At 36.1% G+C, this 18,390-nt stretch overlaps 1 protein-coding gene across 6 annotated transcripts in view; it reads left to right on the top strand.

The window, feature by feature from the left end:
• The window catches only part of WDR35 (WD repeat domain 35), a 79,843-nt gene that overhangs the window by 22,525 nt on the left and 38,928 nt on the right, over nucleotides 1–18,390 (top strand). For 4 of the 6 annotated variants that reach the window (XR_426989.4, XR_939699.4, NM_020779.4 and 1 more), the window contains exons 10-13: nucleotides 672–857; nucleotides 6,967–7,027; nucleotides 13,603–13,747; nucleotides 16,097–16,166. Coding sequence is in view for 4 of the 6 variants with exons in the window: in NM_020779.4 (NP_065830.2) it covers nucleotides 672–857; nucleotides 6,967–7,027; nucleotides 13,603–13,747; nucleotides 16,097–16,166 (462 nt within the window). In the remaining 2 variants the exon portion in view is untranslated. Of the gene's footprint in view, nucleotides 1–671; nucleotides 858–5,253; nucleotides 5,287–6,966; nucleotides 7,028–13,602; nucleotides 13,748–16,096; nucleotides 16,167–18,390 lie in introns of those variants that run through there. The other 2 variants (NM_001006657.2, XM_011533007.3) reach the window with 2 other exon arrangements.

The following is an 18,390-nucleotide window of genomic DNA, read 5'->3' as shown; positions in this document are numbered from 1 at the left end:
TTTATTTTTTTATTCAAAATTAAATATAAACATGTTGGGAGAGTTAGAAGGGAAAGCTGTAAGTGTGTAAGTTCCATAATCAATAGATAATGTGATACAGAAATAAACACCAGAACAGTTGCAGTTAAAGTAGTTGTACACGACCATTCTAGAGAGAGGAAATTTGGCAGGGGGTTCTACATTTGTTTTTGTTTTAAATAAGCCAGGTAGGATTATTTGACCATATATTATGTGAATATGTTACTCTGATAAAAGCAAATATAAAAAATATGGATGGGGGTAAAAAGGCAAAGTGACTATTTTTGAATTTCGACTTGGAGATCCAGAATTGAAACTTTGACAGGGATCACGCTACCTGTTGTCCCCTCTCCAGCAGTTATTATTGATTATTGAAAATTTTTACCATTGAAGCTTAAATCTTACCAATTAAAATAAGGAAAGTTAGACAAACTAAATTTATATTTGCAGCACATTCTTTGTTTTATAAATCTCTATTATTTTTATAAAAGGTTGAATCTGTCTTCTATTTCTGAAGAATATATTTTGTCAGCAGTGATAAATATCTGCAATATTTTGAGAGTAAAAATAAAATAATGTGATTTGCCTTCCCAATACTAAATAATTCTTCTCCCTTTCAATCTCCTTCCCTTTCCTCCTTCCTTTCTTCCTAGTGGGGTTATTGCTCAAACACTGTAGTTTATGCATATACCAGACCTGATCGTCCAGAATATTGTGTTGTCTTCTGGGATACGAAAAACAATGAAAAATATGTTAAATATGTGAAGGGTCTCATTTCTATTACTACCTGTGGAGATTTCTGCATTTTGGCTACAAAAGCTGATGAAAATCATCCTCAGGTAGGTGTTTCTTGATATCTTAAGACATAGCTGGGCTAACTGCTTGGGTTATAGTTTTCTACCTTTTCAAGCATGGCCTCTACACTGGCAAGTACATCAAAACATTGGGTCTGTTGGCACTATTGGTCTAGACCAATTTTGGAAAACTCTGTGACTCCATTGATGCTGTGTCCCTGATTTTTTTTTTCTTCAAGCAGCTAATCTTATGGCAATTCATACTGACTGGTTTAATACTGAAGCTTTTTGTTTCTGAAATATATTTAAAATACCGCAATCCCTTTTCAAATTAAAATTTCATGAGCAAAAATGAACATCCAGATGTCTACTATGCATAAATGCTGAAGAAATTATGCAGCAATGAACACTTGAGACAGTTTGGGTAGCTTTTGACATTGAGAAATCTACTTTGGAGTTATATTGCTTTTAAAATTAATGTATCATAGCATAACATAAATAATATAAATATGTCTTTTTAAAAAGTATACTAACAACTTAAATATTTGCAGAAGTATGTAAATATTTCTGAAAAGGACTACCAATATCTTTGGCTGTGTTATCAATTATTTTACCCCATTAAAAAGTATAGAGTTTTTTGTTAAAGGTGACTCTTTGAACAGCCATGTTTGCTGGTGTTCTCTCCTGAAACTTGCTAAACAATCGTAAAGGTATTTTTTAAAAAGTCATAAGCCCATAGGGACCAGAAAGGGAAAGGAAATGGCAACAACATTTTGTAGGTTAGAGTAGGTGGATTAGCGGTAATTACCTTAGCAGACCTAAGAAAGCTGAATCATAAGCCATTCAGGGAGAAAACAGAGGCAACTGGCTTAGATCACGGAATCCCAAAGAGGCACAGGACTTGGGGGTACCTGGTGGGAGAAAGAAACAAACATAAAAGCAATTTGGAAGTACCAGAGATTATGCAGAAAAGAGAAAACTTTTTTTAAGAAGAAGGAGATCCCACTCCCCTATACTGAGTCCACAGGCAGCTGCCCTTCTGCCACCTACAACGACTGGGGTTTACTCTCCAGAGAGGATCAAAGAGTCTCTGCGCTGAAGAGCATCAAGCAGAGCTGAGGGTGGGGGAACTCTGCTGAAAACAGGACAATTACGTTAAAAGTTTGCTACTCAACATTACCCAAGTCTTCTTTTCCTATTTGGTTCCCAGAACACTGGCAGCCAAGCATTGAGCTTTGAGGTGGGAGTTTGGAAATCTTCTCAGGAGAATTCGACCTGTTCAAGAGAAAAGCCTTCTAAAGATACTGAGATTGAGAGTCCCCAGGGAAATAGCCCTGCCCATCACCTTACAGTAAAGACGCCAGTCAGTGAGGCTCACTTATAGACAACTCTGTTCCGAACAGCTTTTCAATGTCTGACTCTTAAATATAAGCAGTTAGACAAGGATTGCCAGACATTTGAGAAAGCCATCTAAACACAAGTGGAAAAGAACTTGGAAGAAGCAGAGACTGTGCAGGAAGGACACGTCTGAAAAACATTATTTTGGGGCTGGGTGCGATGGCTCACACCTGTAATCCCAGCACTTTGAGAGACCAAGGCGGGCGGATTACCTGAGGTCGGGAGTTCGAGATCGGCCTGGCTAACATGGTGAAACCCTGTCTCTACTAAATATACAAAATTAGCTGGGCATGGTGGCGCAAGCCTGTAAACCCAGCTACTCGGGAGGCTGAGGCAGGACAGTCGCTTGAACCCGGGAGGCAGAGGTTGCAGTGAGCCAGGATCGTGCCATTGCACTCCAACCTGGGCGAAAGTGAGACTCTGTCTCAAAAAAAAAAAATTATTTTGAAAGAACCATTAATATTACCTTCAGAGAGTTAAGAGATATTACATCCATAAAATAAGAAAAGGATACTATAGAAGAGGAAGTTTTTGGAAATTAAAAATAGGATAACCATAATGAAAACTTTGGCTGGAGGATTAGAAGGTAAAATGAAGGAAAACACTTGTAAAGTGAAGCAAAAGGACAAGGAAATGGAAAATAGGGGTGAAAAGATAAAATTAGAGGACCAGTCCGGGAAGCTTAGCATTTCAATAATATTTCTAAAAAGAGTGAACAGGCCACTTTGGGAGGCCGAGGTGGGCAGATTACCTGAGCTCAGGAGTTCGAGACCGGCCTGGGCAACACGGTGAAACCCTGTCTCTACTAAAATAGAAAAAATTAGCCGGGCGTGGCAGCGTGTGCCTGTAGTCCCAGCTACTCAGGAGGCTGAGGCAGGAGAATTGCTTGAACCCAGGACGCGGAGGTTGCGGTGGGCCGAGATCACGCCACTGCACTCCAGCCTGGGAGACAGAGTAAGACTCTGTCTCCAAAGAAAAAAAAAAAAAAAGAAAAGAAAAGAAAGAAAAAAGAAAAAAAAAGAGTGAACAGGCAAAATATACAAAATACAGGGCAGTAAGTATGAAAAAAAAATTCAAGAAAATTTTCCTTGACGTTCTGGATTGGAAGTGCCTAGCTCAGTGAATAAAAACATTTCCACATTGAGACACATCATTGTAGAATTTCAGAACATTGGGGAGAAAACAATCTTACAAGCTTTCAGGGAGGAAAAACAGATTTCATAACGTCAAGGATCATAAGTGGCATTCTATTTGTCAACAGCAATGGTTTGGAGAATTGCCTCAAAATTTGCAGGGATAGTTTTCCAACTAGAATTCCATAGCTGTAAGTCAACTACTAATTAAATATGAGGGTAGCCCAGCACTTTGGGAGGCCAAGGTGGGCAGATCACCTGAGGTTAGGAGTTTGGGACCAGCCTGGCCAACATGGCAAAACCCTATCTCTACTAAATATACAAAAATTAGCCAGGTGTGGTGGCGGGTGCCTGTAATCCCAGCTACTTGGGAAGCTGAGGCAGGAGAATCGCTTGAACCCTGAAGGCAGAGGCTGCAGTGAGCCGAGATGTGCCACTGCACTCCAGCCTGGGCGACAGAGTGAGACTCTGTCTCAAAGTAAGTAAATAAATAAATAAATAAATAAATAAATAAATGGGTGGAATACAGACATTTTTAGATGTGTAACTCACTAAAAATTTCCCTTCCAAGCTTCCCTATCTTAGGAAGTTACTTTAGGAAATAGTCTAACAAAATGAGGAATAAACCAAGAAAGCAGAAGAAACAGTAGAGTGGACACCAGTGAGGAAGAAAGTACCAGCTGACCATGGTGCAGTGTGTCCAGTGAGTCAGATGAGAGGTCAGAAGGCTCCAAGAGAAATTTAAGGGGATAACAATAGACTACCTGACATATTTGAGCCCTTGCAGCAAGATATACATAATTCAGGGATAATTGGGGATTTGTGTTAGTAATAAGCCCATAGAAGACTAATCAAAGAGAAAAAATACAATTATCGACTACAGAGAAAGCAGAATGTGCTTGAAAAGAAAATAAATCATGATACACTTGATGGCTGAGTTGTGAATAGCATTTACATAGTCAAAATGATGTAATCACCCTTTTTAAACTTAAAACACCTTTTAATTGAAGTATAATAAACATACTGAACCCTAAATTCTGATCCGACAAAATGGTATTAAAAATAGAGAGAGGGATGGAAAGGTGCCCCTGTGTGGTAGGGGTGGGGTGGAAAAGGGAATGAAAGAAAGCTAAAGACTTGTCATTTGTAGTGGGGAGGCAAGAGCTAATGGACTAAATTGAAATAAAACAAGTAGCAGTATAAACACGTTACTTAGATTTGTGGAGGTAATAGCAAAAGGATCGGTAAAGGGAGCAGGAAATGGGAACTTAGGGGGAACTGCCATTTTTTAGTAAGAAGCCTTGTGGATCTATTTGATTTTTGGAACTACTAGCATGTATAACTGATAAAAATGAAAAATATATTAAAAATACAATTTGTGGTATTTTGTGGCAGTAAATAAGCTTATTTTAAGTAGTGGAAGAGTAAATTATGATTTTTTAAAATATGATTTTTATTATTTGGTTTATATTTATGAAATTAATTCAATGAGTTCTTTTTATTTTTTTTTAAATGTTATGGGTAATAGTAGACGTATGTTATCTATGGGGTACCTGAGATGTTTTGAGTAATTAAACAAATTTTAATCGAATGCTGAAAAAAGAAAAAGTCTGTGTAAATAGCACATAAAGAACTGCTTTATTTGAAATTGTTGTTCTAGTCAGGAAAAACATCTAAGTAGAATAGTATTCTTAGTACAAGATACAGAAACAGAGACTAACAGTAAGAAAAATGAAATGATCACTTTAAAACAATGTGATGTAAAATGTGCATTACGTTTGATTATTTTCCTAATATTGGTCATTGATGATTATTTGTATATAAGCCACTTTCATTAGGTTGAGTCATGTCTTTTTTGAGTTAACTGAATTTTTCTGAATTTCTCCTGTCATTTATATATTGCTTCAAAGGAGGAGAACGAGATGGAGACATTTGGTGCAACGGTAACAAATGAAATTAGCTCTTATATAGCTGATCATAGGATAAAAATGAGTTTTGAGGTTATAGCTGATCAGAAACTGTAGCAATATGAGGGGACTTCAGAAGGTTCATGGAAAAATGGAATTAACAGATAAAAATAAAAATAGAAACTTTATTTTTCAACATAAGCTCCATCAAGGTCAAGACATTTTTGTAAGCAATGATAACAGATATTTAGTCCATCCCTAAAGAACTGAGGGTCCTGGGAATTTAACCATGTCAATGCAGTCTTTTTTACATTATTAACTAAAGATAAATGGGTACCCTTTAAGGATTTTTTAAGATTAGGAAACAAAAGGAAGTCTGGAGCCAAATCAGGACTGTAAAGTGGATGGATGCCTAATGATTTCCCGCCAAAACTCTAGCAAAATTGCCCTTGTTTGATGAATAGAATGAGCAGGAGCATTGTCATGGTGGGGAGAGACTCTGGTGAAGTTTTCCCAGGCATTTTTCTGCTAAAGCTTTGGCTGACTTTCTCAAGACATTCTCATAGTAAGTGGACATTATTGTCCTTTGGCCCTTCAGAAAGTCAACAAGCAAAATGCCTTGAGCATCCCCCAAAACTGTCGCCATGACCTTTGCTCTTGGCGGTCTGCTTTTGCTTTGACTGGACCACTTCCACCACTTGGTAACCATTGCTTTGATTGTGCTTTGCATTCAGGATCATACAGGCAAAGCCATGTTTCATCTCCTTTTGCAATTTTTGAAGAAATGCCTCAGGTTCTTGATACCACCTGTTTGAAATTTCCATTTACTGCTCTGCTCCTGTGTGCAGCTGATCTGGGTGCAACGGATTTGGCACCCATTGAGTGGAAAGTTGGCTTAACTCAAATTTTTCAGTCAGAATTGTGTGAGCTGAGCCAGTTGAGATGTCTATAGTGTTGACTATTGTTTCTGCTGTTAATTGTTAGTCCTCTTCAATTAGGGCAGAAACAAGATGAGATTCATTTTTTCCTTGCAAATTGACATGGATGGTCTGCTGTTGCAGGTTTCATCTTTACTTTGTCTTGTCCCTTCTTAAAGTGAGTTGTCCTTTTGTAGACTGCTGATTTCTTTAGGGCATTGTCCCCATAAACTTTTCATAAAGGATTGATGATTTCACCATTCTTCCACCCAAGCTGCACCATAAATTTGATGTTTTTTCTTGCTTCAATTTTAGCAGAATTAATGTTTCTTTGACAGGGCTTTTTTTCAAACTGCTGCCATCTCCTTCTTAGTGCTTCAAACTAGATCCTGTTCAAACATGTTTTAACAAGTTAGTGCACGTTTATTTTGATGCAAACAATTTTTAAATCCATGCTTATTTTTTCCATAATACACATTTTCCATAAACTTTTTGAAGACCCCTTGTATAAATGATGAAAAGTAGCCAGAGTACTTGTGTTTCTTGTGTCTTCTTAAAAACCACAGTGTTCCATTACATTGAGAAAGCAGCCTTGGTTTAGTATTAACTGATCTTTCTTTATATTTAATGCTGTAAATCATCTTTCTTTTTGTCTGCTATTTTTTGCACGTAACAGTTTCATCAGTTATTTCCCAGTTAGCAATACTTGAAAAAGAGATAAGCATGATATATATTAAGCATATTTCCTTTATTATTCATAAGCAGGAGTTCTGATACTTTTTGTTTTATTTGTTCACAGTTTGTACTAGTTCTTTGTAATTCTATTGGTACACCCTTGGATCCCAAATACATTGATATTGGTAAGGAAATGTTGATATTTATTTCTTTTCCAATCAGGTTTTATTTGTAACACTAATTTAAAAACCTAACACTGGTATTATTAATTAGAATGGTGTTTTCTAAAACGAGGATGACCATACTTCCTACTTTGTCAGATCCAGTACCAGTTTATATCTGTTACCATGGTAGAATTCTTAATATCCCATTTTACTCTCAAAAGTATCCTGGTTAAGACAGTAAATTATAAGGTTAGTCTATCTAAAATCCATTATAATTTCACAACTGCTATAGTACCATCATTCGCTTTAAATGGGAAATATAATTGTGTAGGAATTGGTATGCAGCGTAATGATTAGTATGTAATAAACTGAGGATTATAGAAAGAATTTTGCTATTAAACCACTTTCATTATTAATAAACTGCTTGTAAATACCTCTCTTCCATAAAAACACTTTGGCTGCTTGTAAAAGTGAGTTTGCCCTTTCCAGATTTTTCTAATGAAATGAGTCTATTAATAGGGACAGTTTTAAAAATTCCTGACTTTTTGTTTTCAAAGGACTTTTGTTACTTTAGATTTACTATTCCCTCTACCCAATAACTATGAAAGTAACCCATTAAAAATTCCAAATCTTATTCTAAGTAGATTATTAAAAATCATTAACAAGTATTTTGTTGCCATTTCACTGTAACTTCCAAAAGTAATGATTTTCTTTTAATGTGTATGGTAGTATATTGGATACAGTATTGTAAAAATTATTAAATCTAAGAAATTAAAAACCCATTGCATTATTCCTGAGAACCTGAGAACTAGTCATTTTTTTTTCATATTGGACATTTAGCCTAAGCAATTAAGTATTAATGCCTGTTGCCTTTTGAGTGTTTGCATTTTGCTAAGTGTTTGTTGAAAAAATTGCTAAGTGTTTGGGTGATAATAGCAAATATGAGAAATAATGACCTCAAAGACTTTATACTCTATGGCTTAGGGTCTTGATAACCTACTCACTTAGATATATTGACACATTTCAACTTCATGTCTTACATTCATTGCTACATAGGCATGTTTATATGTTTTATATGTGTATATATTTATATACACATATATATACACATTAGTGTTCCTTGTTAAAAAGCTTAGCTTAAAATTATTAACAGACTCTCATCACATAAATATCTCTTGTTTATTAGAAGCATTAACAGTCTTTAAGAGGTAAATTTTGTCAGTCTTCAGATTATATGCTTTTTCTTTTAATATCCAAAGTTTTAACATAGAATCATAATGGTGATAGGGTTAATGTCAAAGTAATTTTTATCACAAGTAGACTGTTTTTTTAAAATAAAGCTAAATGTAAATCCTTCTTCATAAAATGGCAAATACTTGAGAGCATGACTATTTGTATTTTTGAGTCTCAAAACTTTTTTTTTTTGTAGTCTTGCTGACTGAGATTTTAACAAACAGTTCTTTCATTGGCCTGCAGTGAACACAGCCAAAGACTCAACATTTTTGTTTCATACATATCCTGTAAAATTTCTTTTTTAAAGTTTCTATGCCAAATGTTTATGAGGACTAGAGGCTAAAATAAAAAAAGTCTGTGAGTGATACTCTTCTAGAATTTATTATTTTTGTTTTGCCACCTACTCTTCCTCTTTATAATTTTTGTAGAAACTTTAAAATGAACTTTATAGATTATTATAGAAGTGTAGTTTGTGGGACTCTGTTATACTCTACACATGAGAGTTAGGTATCCTTTTTTGGTGTTCTTTTCTTGAGCACTCATAATACCTTTGGTGTGCTTCCATCCAAAATACCTCTTAACCTGCACTGTGGTTACTAATTTTCTTGTCTATCTTCCCCACTAGACTTTGAACTTCTTAAAGATCTACGTCTAATTAACTTCTGTATCCCCATGACCTAACACTGCCTTGGCCCATAATAAATGTTTATTGAATGCATGGAAATTATTTATTTTCTATCATGTAAATAAAAAATGATGATTCATTTATTTAGCAAACTATCAATGAGTATATACTGTTTCAGGTACTGTACTGGTCACTGGGAATAATAAGAAATTAATTATGACATTTCCTGTGGGATTTCTGAACAAATAATTAAAACCTAGTTAATTCATTGAACAGTGATTTATTGCTTCCCTACTGCGTGCTAGGTATTGCTCTAGGTGCCAGGTAAATGGTTATTGGTGCATAAGGACATCAGAGACATCTTTCTACTTAGAGAAGGTTTCATTTGAGCTGAGTTTTGAAAAGTAAGTATTTCTTTAGGTGATATTTCAAGGAAAGAAAACGGCATTTGCAGAGGAATGAAGGCATGGAAAGTGGCCATCAAGTACCAGTTTGCCTATGCTGCAGCCATTTTAGTGGGAGCACATGGGCAGCTTTCTAATGATGGTATCTAACACGTGCACTAGGTTTTCCATATATTTTAGAGAAAGTTAATTTGATGAAAACATTTCAGTGAAATTTCAATTTACCAGCACTTGAAAGGGCTGAGAAATGAATAAATGGGAAAGTGGGTGAACATTACAGATGTAGGCATTTATTTCATGCCTTAGCATTAAAATATTACAAGCAGGTTTTATTTATATGTGAATTCCAAGATTGTTTTAAATTATTTTACATCCTTGCTTGGCTAGTAATGACTGCCTATTAGCATTACAAAGTTCAGTTAATGAAAGCATAATTATTTTCTTAAAAACTTTTTTTCCAAGCTGGGCATGGTGGCTCACTCCTGTAATCCCAGCACTTTGGGAGGCTGAGGTGGGTAGATCACCTGAGGTCAGGAGTTCAAGACCAGCCTGGCCAAAATGGCAAAACCCCATCTCTACTAAAAATACGAAAATTAGCCAGACATGGTGGCATGCACCTGTAATCCCAGCTACTTGGGAGGCTGTGGCAGGAGAATCGCTTGAACCCAGGAGGCAGAGGTTGCACTGAGCAAAGATCGTGCCACAGCTCTCCAGCCTGGGTGACACAGCAAGACACCGTCTCAAAAAAAAAAAAAATCCAATAACCTTTCTAGATATTTCAAATTTTTTTCTTTTCAGATATTGAACAGTCAAAAAGGGCATGGAGGGCCTTCATCTTGGCTGTGTTCTTGTCCTAAAACATTGTATCTGTTAAGATTTTGTTTTGCTTTTCCTAGAAGCTTAGTCTAGATGGGATGAATCTTAATAAAGATCTAGCAAAATATGTATAGATAGGATTATCTACCCATATGAATTTGCTGAAATTACCACCTTACTGATTCAAAAGAACATATTTTTCAGATATATTTCTATTTTTTGTAGTAACTGAGAATTTATATATGGTTTTATTATAAAATCCTATGTAGGTGATAAAAGTGAAAAGAACAATAGCAACCATGTCTAACTAATACTTCTTAATCCTTAGTGAGGGTCAGTCTGCTCTAGTAGTTAAGAGCAGTTTCTGGAGCCAGATTGACCAGGTTTGTGTCCAGCTCTACTACTTTCTAACTGTGTGATATGGGCAAATTCACATGCCTCAGTTTCTTTATCTGCTAAATGAGGACAATAACGCCTACCTTATAGGGAAGTTGTGAGTTAATATGTGTTATATATTTAGAACACTGCCTGTCATATTTTTAAACATTCAATAAATACTGTCTTTTAAAAGTATTATTGGCCGGGCGCGGTGGCTCACGCCTGTAATCCCAGCACTTTGGGAGGCCAAGACGGGCGGATCACGAGGTCAGGAGATCGAGACCATCCTGGCTAACACGGTGAAACCCCGTCTCTACTAAAAATACAAAAATTAGCCGGGCATGGTGGCGCGCGCCTGTAGTCCCAGCTACACTGGAGGCTGAGGCAGGAGAATGGCGTGAACCCGGGAGGCGGAGCTTGCAGTGAGTCGAGACCGTGCCACTGCACTCCAGCCTGGGCGACAGAGCGAAACTCCGTCTCAAAAAAAAAAAAAAAAAAAAGTATTATTAAGCGTGTACTCTATGCCAGGCACTGTGCTATGCTATAATTTATATTGTATTTATATTTATATTGTTATCTCTCTTAAACTTTCAAACAGCTCTGTAGGGTTGGCATTATTATTATTTTCAACTTACAGTAAGTAAACTGAGAGAACAAATAATTTATTCAAGGCCACAGAATTAACAAGTGCCTGTCATTTGAATCCAAGAAGTCTGACTCTTACCTTGAACCACTAACATTTTAATTTTGAAGTAATCAGGCTAATGATAAACCCTTGTGAGTATTTAGGATCTATCAAAAAGAAAGGAACATGAGTGTAATTTATAATTGTAGGTAAACATTGGTTGGAAGAATGCTTTTATATACTTAGGAAAAAATGAGATTTTATTAGAAAGCAGTTAAGGTGTGCAAACTTGCTTCAAATTACACTAAGGGCATAATAGTTACCAGCATTAGAGTATCCATGGTGGAATTTACTAAATATTTAAAAAATTCTTAAGATTTAGTGAAGACCAGGTCAGGGAAAGGAGAGCGCAGCCTGACCTGGCAGGAGCGCACCCTGGAGGCTTTGCTGTCAGTCTCCATGCCTGGCTTTCAGCAAAGTGCTCCTTCCAAGAAAGGCTTTGAGCTCCCTCCAGAGGTTGGTAATAGTACACATTTTGAATGAAAAAATCTTGACAGTTACAGTGAAAAAAGAATTAAAAAAAAAATTACTCAGTTGGACTGAGTTATTTAGCATATAAAAATTATTGAATTTAATCCCTGAGTTGTTAACCCACTCAATTAACATCATACCATCAGACTAGTTTCTAATTCTTTGTTCAGTTTCTAAGTCTCTTGCTGCCTCAAATGTCCTTTGTCTGCACTCTGGCAAGAACTCTATAAATGGTACCTCCTAGTAACGTTATGTCTTTATTCCGGCCATATTAATGATTACATTGCATAGTATTTATAATAGAGAAATTAAGTTTTACACTGTTTTGATTGTTCATGAATTTAGAAAACAGGTAGTATAATCTGTTTGTGACGGAGTTTTTTGCTTTTATGTATTTCGTATGAGTGTTTAATTTTATGTTGTTTATTTTGTGTTTTGTGACCTTGGGCAAATTGTTCTACTTCTTTAAACCTCTGTTTATTTATCTATAAGATGGATTTGATGAGACTATCTACTTCATAAAAGCATATACAGTAGGAGCTCAATTAAATGTTCTCTAAGAAATGGGCAGATGAAAAGAATTATTTGCTTAGGAGAATATATTTCCAATACATATTAGGAATATTAAAAATTATTTGTTTAGAAGAATATATTCCTTAGGAAGGGACTTGGGAGATTTTTCTTTTCTAAATTAGAGTAGAAATATAAGATGTGGCCAGGCGGGGTGGCTCATGCCTGTAATCCCAGCACTTTGGGAGGCTGAGGCGGGCAGATGGTGAGGTCAAGAGATGGAGACAATCTGGCCAACATGGTGAAACCCCGTCTCTACTAAAAATACAAAAATTAGCTGGGCGTGGTGGTGCGTGCCTGTAGTTTCAGCTACTCTGGAGGCTGAGGCAGGAGAATTGCTTGAACCCGGGAGGCAGAGGTTGCAATGAGCTGAGATCACACCACTGCACTCCAGCCTGGGCGACAGAGTGAGACTCTGAACCAGGTAGTAATTGGTAGTGGGGATGGGAGGAAGGACTGGGATTTTATTTATTCATTTTTCAATTAATGGTTGTTTGAGTTGTTTCTACTTTTGATCATTATAAATAATGTTGTTATGAACATCAGCATATGAGTTTTTGTGTGGACATGTTTTTATTTTTCTTGGGTACATACCTAGGAGTGGAATTGCTGAGGCATATAGTAACTCTGTATTTAACATTTTGAGGAGTTGCTGAACTGTTTACCAAAGTGAACACACCATATTACATTCCCAGATTTCTCCATAACCTTGCTAACACTTGTTATTGTCTGACTGTTTGATTCTAGCCATCCTAGTGGGTGTGAGGTGGTATCTCATTGTGGTTTTGATTTGCACTTCCTGATGGCTAATGTTGTTGATCATCTTTTTCATGTGCTTATTGGCCATTTGTGTATCTTCACTGTAGAAATGTCTATTTGTATCCGTTGCTCACTTTTAAATTGGGCTATTTGTCTTTATTATTGAGTTGTAAGAGTTCTTTATATTTTCTAGATAAAATTTCTTTTCAGATACACGATTTGCAAATATTTTCTCCCATTCTATGGGTTGTCTTTACTTTCTTGATAGTGTCCTTTGAAGCCCAAATGTTTTTAATTTTAATGAAGTCTAATTTATCTAATTTTTCTTTTGTCATTTGTGTTTTTGGTGTCATATCTAAGAAGCCAATTATTGCCTGACCAAAGGTCATAAAGGTGTATTCCCAAGTTTTCTTTAAGTGTTTATGGTTTTAGCATTTGAGTCTCTGATTTATTTTGAGTTAGTATCGTTGTATGATGCTACAAGCTTTTGATTCTTTTCTGATTTCAGAGACTGTGTATGGGTATTTTGAGACTATGTGGGGGTATATTGTCTATAAAATGAGGGGTTGAACTCCGTGATTACTAAAGGCCTTTGCAGCACAAGCATTCTGCAATTCTGTGTAACTGTAAATTATCTTAATGTTATTTTTAACAGTACCATTGTTTGTTGCAATGACCAAAACCCATGTGATAGCAGCCTCGAAAGAAGCATTTTATACCTGGCAATATCGTGTGGCAAAGAAGCTCACAGCATTGGAAATTAATCAGATCACACGGTCTCGAAAAGAAGGGAGAGAAAGGTATATCTTTTGATACATACTTTTTAGTAGCTCAACCATATCACATTGAAGTCAGACATAGTAATTGTAAATTGTCATGCTTGATAACTGTAGTGTCTTGATTAGTAGAAATGTTTTTTCAATTAATTTGATTATCTTTAAAATTTATGTGTTTAAATTTATTAAAATAAAAGAGAAGTAGAATGGTTTAATAAAGTCCTTAGAGATAAAGAGTGGAAAGCTGTGTTTTTATAAGGAAATGGCTGTCCTCACTTACCCTCCCCACCAGATTAGAGTTAATATGCTATACTAAAATATGATTATTCACTTGAGATCGAAGGATCTAACTAAGGGTTTATTCCTATACATTAGTGGTATAGGTTTTCCCAAGAGGGTGGGGTGATTCCAATATCAGTGACCAGAGGAGAGGCAGGCCTTTAGACACACATATGGAAGAAGTCTTTAGGTGGGGTGAACTGGGGACTTAGCTTCTTTTTCTTGCCCTGGTTTCCAAGGATTCTGGAGTTGGAATTACTTCTAGTAAGTGGGGTGAAAAGGGCTCTGCCACATAGTAGATAGGTTAGAAGCCAGGATAGAGGGATTCCCCACAGTAAGTCTGTAAGTGAAGAAGCATTTACTGTGTTTTGTAAGTTATATTGTCTCCATTAGTGATACTCTGTGTTTGCTGCTCTTCTGTTGTTACTCTAAGCCTGTAAGTAAAGCATTTTGTTGAATGTTTTAACCTAAGGATTCTTAATGGGGACACAGGCCTGTGTTGGTGGAAGTGAGTGGTACAGTCATGACAGAAATGCTAGGTGTTTTTTCAAATCATTATCCTCCCTCACATCCTTGAGATCTTAAAGCAGACTCCCCTTGCCTTTCCTTTAAGACTCACTCATGTGCTAAGATGGGAGATGGATCCTCAGTAAAAGTATGTTGATGGGAGGCTGAGGCAGGAGAATGGCGTGAACCCGGGAGGCGGAGCTTGCAGTGAGCCGAGATCCCGCCACTGCACTCCAGCCTGGGCGACAGAGCGAGACTCCGTCTCAAAAAAAAAAAAAAAAAAAAAAAAAGTATGTTGAGTATGCGAATTCATGTGGAGGCAGGAAAAAAAGATTGAAAAATGTTATATCTTTTGTTCTCAGTGGTGCTGGAAGACCAAATGGAAAGAATCTTTGGAAGGAATCTTTGGCCAGTATGTGGTAGTCCTCATGCTGGTAGGCGTTACCGTGGTAGCAATAATAAGCAGAGGCCTGCAATCTTGTGGGAGAAGGTAGATCTTAGGACAAAGTTGAAGCAGAAAGCCTAGCCTCTCCAGAGTGTCTTATAGCTGCTAAAGAGATTATGACATTAGTTTAAATCAAGAAGACAGCATTTCCTTATGTTTCTGTCTGGGATATGTGTACTGGTTTGAATAACTTTGAGTAGGTTCCCCTTAGAACTCAGTTTCCTCATCTCTAAGGTACAGTTGATGATGGTGATAACAGCCAACATTTATTGGGTACTTCTTACGTGCCAGACACTTTCATAAATCTAATCAGTGCTCATTATTCTTGTTTTGCAGAGAGGAAACAGACACATGAGCTTAAAGTATTTGCCAAAGGTCACCAGTGGAAGCTAAATAATGTGTACACATGGACATAAAGTGTGGAATAATAGACATTGGAGACTCAGAAGGGTGGGAGGGTAGTAGGGGGTAAGGGATAAGAAATTACTTAATGTGTACAGTGTACATTACTTGGGTTGTGGTTGCACTAAAAGCCCAGACATCACCACTACTCAATATATCCATATAACAGAACTGTACTTTTGTACCCCTTAAATTTATTTTAAAATAATAATACAGGTACAGGTACTAGAGAGACAGTGGATGTCCAAAAGTGATACCCCTTCCTAACACAGGAAAGGGTAGGAAAGGCTTCTTTACTTCAGCGCAGAAGTTGCATTAATTAGAACCTCCTAAATCCACTTAAATTTTACTTTTATTAAACACATTGATAGAAGAGAAATTATGGAGAAACAACAGAGAAAGTTAGTGAATTAGATGTTACTCTTTACTGATGTTCAAGTGGAGGGTAAGGTAAAATGTCTCTCTGGGCTTAATGAAATTCATCGGGAATATATGATGAAATGTTCAGATATGTTTTTGGTACAGCTTTCAGGAACGTATCATTTATATAACTAGTAAACACCTGGTAGATAATTTTTATCTTCATTAAGATTTAACTGTGTTGAGAACTCTCTAAAATAATCAGAATTTTTATATTAAATAACAGTATTAATTGATGTTGTCCAATCGTTTATTCTAGAGATTATGAAATAGTATAAACTATACTTAAACTTTCTTTGAAATTCTGATCTTTTTTGCAGAATTTATCATGTTGATGATACCCCTTCTGGATCAATGGATGGTGTGCTTGATTATAGTAAAACCATTCAAGTAGGTGATTTTAATTTTTCCAGAAAATGTTAATATCTGTAGATTTGAAATATTATAATTTTATTTTGAAACCTGAAAAATAATTTGTTTCCAGTGAATAGGATATTATTTTAGCAATTCTTTAAAAAAATCCTCTTCTGTAAACTTTTTCCTAGATCTTAAAAATTCTTGAACTAAAATAAAGATGGTAGATGGTGATAAGTAGCTAATATACTACTTAGAAAAGCGTATTATCTAAAAATGTTGGAAAACATAACTCCTCCTCTCCTCCTCACACCTTCCCATCTGTCTATCTCTTTATCTGTCTATCAGTTGACCATGGATTGGTCTGTCATCCCTGGCGTATTAGTGAGTGCATATATTTTGCAGATAATATAGTTAACTGTTTCTTTATGAAAATATGCTTCTGTTTACAAACTAATATAATTTGCTATTTCAGTAAATAGTTTTTGAAATGATTTTCTCAGAGTATTTAAAGTAGTGCCTATTGTTTATAAAACTGTTGTCTCATTTCTTATCTGATGCTCAAAACTCTGTAAGTCAATCAGCATGTCATCTCCTCTCTTACAGGTTAGAAAACTGTTAGAGAAGTTCACTGATTTACTCAGGATCATAAAATGATTAAGTAACAAAGCAAGGGTGCAAGCTTAATTTTTTGACAGCAGATCTAGTGATGTATCTACTAGAATATGCAAGAGTTCATCTAGTCATCTACATATCCATCCATTTTTTTCAATTAAGTATTTTTTGAATGTCTATTAAGTGTGAGACATTGGAGTAGGTGCTGGGAATCTACTGGTGAATAAGAAACAGTCGCTTTAACAGGGAACTTTTGGGAAATTGATTCATCATCAACCAGCTTTTCTCCTGTACCCTCACATAAATTAAAATAGATGCCATCTTAAAAACAACAGAAGTTTCCATTGTCAACCACGTATTTTCTTCCAGCTACTACCTTCTCTCTTCCTCCTTTCGTAGCTGAGTTTCTTGAAAGACTATTCTGTATTCATCTTTCCCCTACTGTTCATTCCATCTGCACTTCATTGCATTCTGGTTTCCAGAAGACTTTGAATTGCCAAGTCTGATAGGTCTTTTTCTGTCTTTATATTATTTGATCTACACATTACATTTAATATTTTTAATGACTACTTTTTTCTTCTTGGCTTTCATGAAACTACACTCCTGGTTTTATCTCTGGCTTTTCCTTCTGAGTCTTCTTTGTCAAGGGTTCATCTATGCATCACTTATTGTGATATTCCCTAATGTCTAGCCCTAAGCCATCTACCTTTTTTAAAAAAACCTGTGAATACACTCTTCTTAGTGTTCTTAATGAAATCCACCCCTTTAATCATATGCCAACAACTCTAATATGTATATTTCCAATGTTGAGTTTTTTCAATTTCTGAATAACATATTTCTTGCCATCTGGATAGCAAGAAATTGAGCAGCTCAAAAGCCCCCCAAGTTTAATCTGCCTGAGGCTGAACTCAGCTTCCCTCCCAATTCATTTCTGCATATATATTCTATATATCAGTGGTTGGCTTCACTATCTTTGCAAGAATCACGAGAACTCATTTTCTCTTGCTTTCCACGTCTAATAAATCACCAAGTCCTCTGGATTCTGTTTCCTAAATTTCCCTCAAATTGGCTTTCCCCTTTCCATCTCTGTATCAGTTTGGTCTACCATTAGTTTCTGCCTAGGTCACTGCAATAATTTCCATCCAGCACTGCCCAATGGAACTTCTTGTGATAATGGAAATACTGTGTGTCTTTGTTCTCCAGTGCAGTAGCCATTAGCCGTATGTGGCTATTGAGTACTTAAAATATGGCTAGTTCAACTGAAGAACTGAATTTTAAATTTTATTTCACTGTCATTAATTGAAGTTTACATTTAAATGGTGACATCAGGTTAGTGGCTACCATATCGAACAGTACAGAATCGCCTCTCTACTTTCAGTTTTCCCCATCCCCACTATGCCAATCCATTTATTATACTTCTGGCCACTGCAGCCTTTCTAAAATATAAATCTAATCATGTTACATATAGTTCCTCCCCTCCCCAATTACAAGCTTTCTGTAAGTTCCCATATTTTTCAGAATAAAGTATAAATAGCCACAACTACTCCTCCTTCCTGGCCCACTTCCCAGTATATTCCTCAGATACCAGCTGTGGCAAACAACTTGAAATTTCCTGAATGTATCATGCTGGTTTTTAAAATTTTTT

The sequence above is a fragment of the Homo sapiens genome, chromosome 2, assembly GCF_000001405.40.
Source record: "Homo sapiens chromosome 2, GRCh38.p14 Primary Assembly".
Taxonomy (NCBI): Eukaryota; Metazoa; Chordata; class Mammalia; order Primates; family Hominidae; genus Homo; species Homo sapiens.
The sequence above is the reverse complement of the archived record's forward strand: the minus strand, read 5'-3'. Positions and strand labels throughout refer to the sequence as shown.